Raw genomic sequence first — 2,578 nt, 5'->3', positions numbered from 1 at the left:
ATTTGACTTGACGGTTTTTCTGTTGATGTTTTTAGAATTCTCTTGGACTTTTGATAGTTTGACTATAATATTACTTGGAGAAGATCTTTTTGGATTAAATATATTTACAATTCTGTGAGATTCCTGTATATGAATTTCTGTATCTCTTGCAAGACTTGGGAATTTTCAGGAATCATTTTGTTAAATAGGTTTTCTATGCCTTTGCCATCCTCTTCCAGGAAAACCCAAAATTCAAATATTTTCTTGCATTATATTGTTGTCCCATATGTCATGTAGGCTTTCTTCATTTTTTCTCTTTTTTTTTGTCTGAGTGAGTTATTTCAAAAGACTTGTCTTTAAGTTCAGAAATTCTTCTGCTTGATCTATTCTATTTTTTAAGCTCTCAGTTGTATTTTTTATTTCATTCAGTCCAGGATTTCTATTTGGCCATTTTTCATGATGTCTACCAATTTGTTGAATTTCTCATTCAGATCATATATTGTTTTTCTGATTTCTTTGTGTTGTTTTTCAATGTTCTCTTGTATCTTGTTAAGCTTCTTTTAATATCATTATTTTGAATTCTTTTTTCAGGCATTACATAGATTTCTTTTTTGTTTAAATCTGTTGCTGGAGAACTATCATGTTAATTTGGAGGTAATATGTTTCTTTGCTTTTTTGTGGTGTGTGTGTGTGTGTGTCCTTACATTGGTATTTGCACATCGGGTATAACCTTCACTTTTTTGGATAGGCTTTTGTGGGAAAAGACTTTTTCCTCTAGAGGTACCATTAGTGTTGGTTGGGTAGGGTGCTTTAGCTTTGATTTTGAGTGCATGCATTAGTGTAGTCTCTATATGGTATTTTGGGCTATGAAAATTGTCAGTGATGTCTGTGAGTCCCTCGATGGCAGACTGCAGTTGTTAATGGAGGCTCTGGGGAGGTTTTGTTGGGGATGGGACTGCCAAGTGGGCTGGTGGTGATAGCCACAGGCTGAGCATGCCCATCCTTGGAACCCCAAGTGGTGTACACAGGCACTGGTGTTCCTAGGTCTAGGCAGGTCTATCTTTGGGCTTCCAGGGAGCTTGCTCAGGTGCCAGCAGTGACAGTGATGGGTCAGGTAGGTGGGCTTTTCTTTAAGCCCGTGGGTGGTGAGCATGCAATAGCTGTAGTGGTGATGGGCCAACGCTTGGGCCTCAGGCAACATGTGCAAGTGCCAGTGGTGGGTTGGGCTGGCCAGTCCCCAGACCCTTAGGCCCCCAGATGCCTTGTATGGCTGAGTGCTGGTGGCAGTGGTGGTGGCAGGCTGAGCTGTTCCTTCTTCATGCTCCCAGGAGGTGTGTGCATATGTCAGACATCAGTGCTGGTGAGTGGTGTAGGCTCCGGCAAGGTGTGCATGAGTTCTGGTGGCAACGAGCAGTACAGATTGATCATCTGGTCTCTGGACAACATGCTGGCCCTTGCAGGAGTGGCTTTGAGTAAGGTGAGTTTGTCTTTAGGCCCCCCAATGCTTTGCATGGGTCAGGCTGTGATGGGCAAGAGTTGGGCAATTTCTAGTCCCCAGAGAGTAGGCTTGGGTGATTGTGGCAAGTGGGTTGGGTTTGTTTTTAAGGCCCTTTATAGTTCAAGCATGTGCCAGAAGTGGCAGAGAGGGTGGGATGATCCTTAGGCCCCCAGACAGCATATCTGGGCTCTGGCAGGGTGGTGCCAGGTAGCTGGGCCTATTGTCAGGTCCCATGATTGGGCATACAGGTACAAGCTGTGGTGGCAAAACCACCCCTATGAACTTTATGAAATTAATCAGGGAAGAAGGGAGGGGGAACAAAAATAAACCAAGCTTGCAGCTCATTTCATATTAATCATTAGATCAGCTTACTCTCTGACCTGCTTCCTCATAGTTACTTGGTGCCTATTTTCCTAGAATCATGTAGATCATGTTACAAGATTATAGTTCCCCTTAATTTCCCCATAGAAAACAACTTGAACAGTATGAAGCGTTAAGTTTTCCCTTTGAGACATTCCTTCAAGTTGTATGTACAAATGAAACTATTACATCAGCTGGTCTAAAGGACTTCACTGGCTCAGCTGGTCTGAGGGACCCCATAATAAGCTGACTCACCAAAGAATGCAGTTTTCCTATCCTGATGACTTTATGCCCCTTGTCCCAATCAATCAACAACCCAATTTTCCAGCCCCTTGCTCTCCAAAATCCCTTTAAAAACTCTATCCTAGGACTCCTTAGAGAGGCAGATTTGAGGGACTCCCCCAGCCCTCTCACTCAGTGCCCTGTGATCATTACATTCTTTCTCTGCTACCAACTCTGCTGTCTTAGTGTAATATGTCTGTTACTGCACAGTGGGAATATAAACCTGTTGGTTCTATAACAGTGGGGAGGGTGGGGTGATCCCCAGGCCCACTGAAGGTGCTGGTGCAAGTGCTCACTGGCTCTGCTGCTGCGGGGTATACTGCTGTCAGTGGCAGCAGCCCTCGGTAGGTGGCTTTCACATTCTGGGGAGGCTTTGGCACCTTTTATCCCTAGGGCAGCCTCCCTGGAATGCTGCACCATCCTTTTTAGGGGATTTAGGACACTTCATGGGCTGGTGCT

The 2,578-nt window shown here is 44.4% G+C and overlaps 2 annotated features.

Annotated features, from left to right (window-relative positions):
• Nucleotides 695-1,194: an enhancer, noted in NCBI's record as "H3K4me1 hESC enhancer chr4:93050789-93051288 (GRCh37/hg19 assembly coordinates)". NCBI's record gives its function as "activates a minimal SCP1, AML or CMV promoter by ChIP-STARR-seq in primed H9 embryonic stem cells {active_cell/tissue: H9 hESC(primed)}" and the evidence as "EXISTENCE:reporter gene assay evidence [ECO:0000049][PMID:30033119]".
• Nucleotides 1,195-1,696: an enhancer, noted in NCBI's record as "H3K4me1 hESC enhancer chr4:93050287-93050788 (GRCh37/hg19 assembly coordinates)". NCBI's record gives its function as "activates a minimal SCP1, AML or CMV promoter by ChIP-STARR-seq in primed H9 embryonic stem cells {active_cell/tissue: H9 hESC(primed)}" and the evidence as "EXISTENCE:reporter gene assay evidence [ECO:0000049][PMID:30033119]".

The sequence above is a fragment of the Homo sapiens genome, chromosome 4, assembly GCF_000001405.40.
Source record: "Homo sapiens chromosome 4, GRCh38.p14 Primary Assembly".
In the NCBI taxonomy this organism is placed as follows: domain Eukaryota; kingdom Metazoa; phylum Chordata; class Mammalia; order Primates; family Hominidae; genus Homo; species Homo sapiens.
Note: the sequence above shows the minus strand (reverse complement) of the source record. Positions and strands in the feature narration are given on the sequence as shown.